Genomic DNA, 2,096 nt, shown 5'->3' with positions numbered 1-2,096 from the left:
TAGCAATTTCTGATAAAAGGGAAAAAACCCTGATTTTAACTTACCACTGATTTTTACTAAACTTTTAAGCTTTAGTTTAGGCAACAGCGTCACAATTTCTTTCCCCAGTTACTAAAACCCAGGTTGTTTCAAATCCCGAAAAGGGAAGTCCAAAACATCATGCTGTAGAATTCCTATGCCTTAGCTTCTGTGACATTTCTCTGCAAAGGGGCCAGGATGACTGCAACATTCCTGTCTTCATTCTTGGAACTGTACAAATTATGCTTTTCCATGTATTCTTGGACAAGATCTGGTACCAAGTAGCAAATGCTCTGGCCCCTTCTGAGGGCTCTCCAGATTTTTGTGGATGAGATGTCATTAGTAATCCATTCCTTCACAACATGAATGTTGCTCTGGTGTTTCCACAGCACATCAGATTCATAGATGAATTTCTGCGCATCATTTCCAGCCTAACTAATACATATGCGCCCATAGCCTGCCACGATTTAGGCGATATCTTCACTCTTCCACGAAGGACTCCAATAAATCTGCCCCACATAGCAGCTTGACCTTTGGCACACCTTTCGTTTTGGGCTCTAGGGATTTCTTTTGACTAGACTCTTGTCTTTGTTCAGTCCACTTCTTCTTCCGTCCAGGCCTTGCTAGTGTAGATGAGTTCTGCTAGTGATCACAGTTACTGGCCTCCACTTTCTCTTGATGGTGTCTTAACAATCTCTGTCCAGTCCTTCTGAAGACTTTCCGGGTATTAACTCCCACCCATTTGGAATTCTTGGTGGCAAGTTCTGCCATGATGACCCAGTGATGAGCAGGAATGAGTCTTTTCTCCTTCTTTTTTCTTTTTTTTTGAGACAGAGTCTTGCTCTGTCACCCAGGCTGGATGGAGTGCAGTGGTGCAATCTTGGCTCACTGCAAGCTCCGCCTCCCGGGTTCATGTCATTTTCCTGCCTCAGCCTCCCAAGTAGCTGGGACTACAGGCACCCGCCAACATGCCCGGCTAAGTTTTTGTATTTTCAGTAGAGACGGGGTTTCACTGTGTTAGCCAGGATGGTCTTAATCTCTTGACCTCGTGATCTGCCTGCTTCAGCCTCCCAAAATGCTGGGATTACAGGTGTGAGGCACCACGCCTGGCCCCAGAAATGAGTCTTTTCTTCTAATATGCATTGCCAACAGGAGAGATTATGAGTTTGACAACTCTGTATCTTCCTGTTCCATTGATGTAGACTTTGCCAGCTCAAACAATCTGAGGTGCATGTCGGTGATAGGTTTAAAGGAACTGCAAGCAAAGAGAACCACTTCAGTCTTCTCTGAATTTTCCATGTTAAGAACTTGAAGTTGTTGATCTAAATGGAAAACTGTGACATCTCTCTTGTTGTAGTTCCACATAGCTGGGGAGGCCTCAGGAAATTTAGTCATGGCAGAAGGTGAAAGGGAAGCAAGGCCATGTCTTAGATGACAGCAGGTGAGAGAGAGCCAATTTGATGGTTTTTGACAAATACACTTACCTGTGCAATCGCCTCCCAAAATAAGATTATTAACCATTTTCACAACCACTAAAGTTTTCTCTTGCCTCTTTGGATCTGTTCTCTACCTGCCCTAATCTTGATCCCTGGCATCTACTACTCTGCTTTCTGTAACTATAAGTTACCTTTTTCCATTTTAGGATTTTATACAAATGATTTTATATAAAATAAGATTTTATATTATATGATTTTAGGAATCATATATGTACTCTTTTGTATTGGGCTTCTTTCACTTAGCAAAATGTTTTTAAGATTCATACATGGTGTCATGTGTATCGGTAGTTTTTACCATTTTATTTCGGAGTAGTAGTCCACTTGATGGATATACCACATTTTGGTAGTCCCTCTTCCTATTGATAGCCATTTGGGTTGTTTCTAGATTTTTGGCTCTTGTGACTGAAGCAGTTATGAACTTTTGTGTACAAGTCTTTGTGTGGACATATGTTTTTATTTTTCTTAGGTAAATACCTAGAAGTTGGATTTCCAGTTTGTGTGATAAATATATGTTTAACTTTAAAAGAAAATGCCAAACTTTTGCTAATATCACTGTACATATTACTTCCCATCATAAATGTA

The 2,096-nt window shown here is 40.9% G+C and overlaps 1 pseudogene; it reads right to left on the bottom strand.

Moving 5' to 3' along the window:
• On the bottom strand, positions 558 to 1,373 carry NMNAT1P5 (NMNAT1 pseudogene 5; annotated as a pseudogene).

This window comes from Homo sapiens, chromosome 15 (assembly GCF_000001405.40).
Source record: "Homo sapiens chromosome 15, GRCh38.p14 Primary Assembly".
NCBI classification, from domain to species: domain Eukaryota; kingdom Metazoa; phylum Chordata; class Mammalia; order Primates; family Hominidae; genus Homo; species Homo sapiens.
The sequence above is the reverse complement of the archived record's forward strand: the minus strand, read 5'-3'. Positions and strand labels throughout refer to the sequence as shown.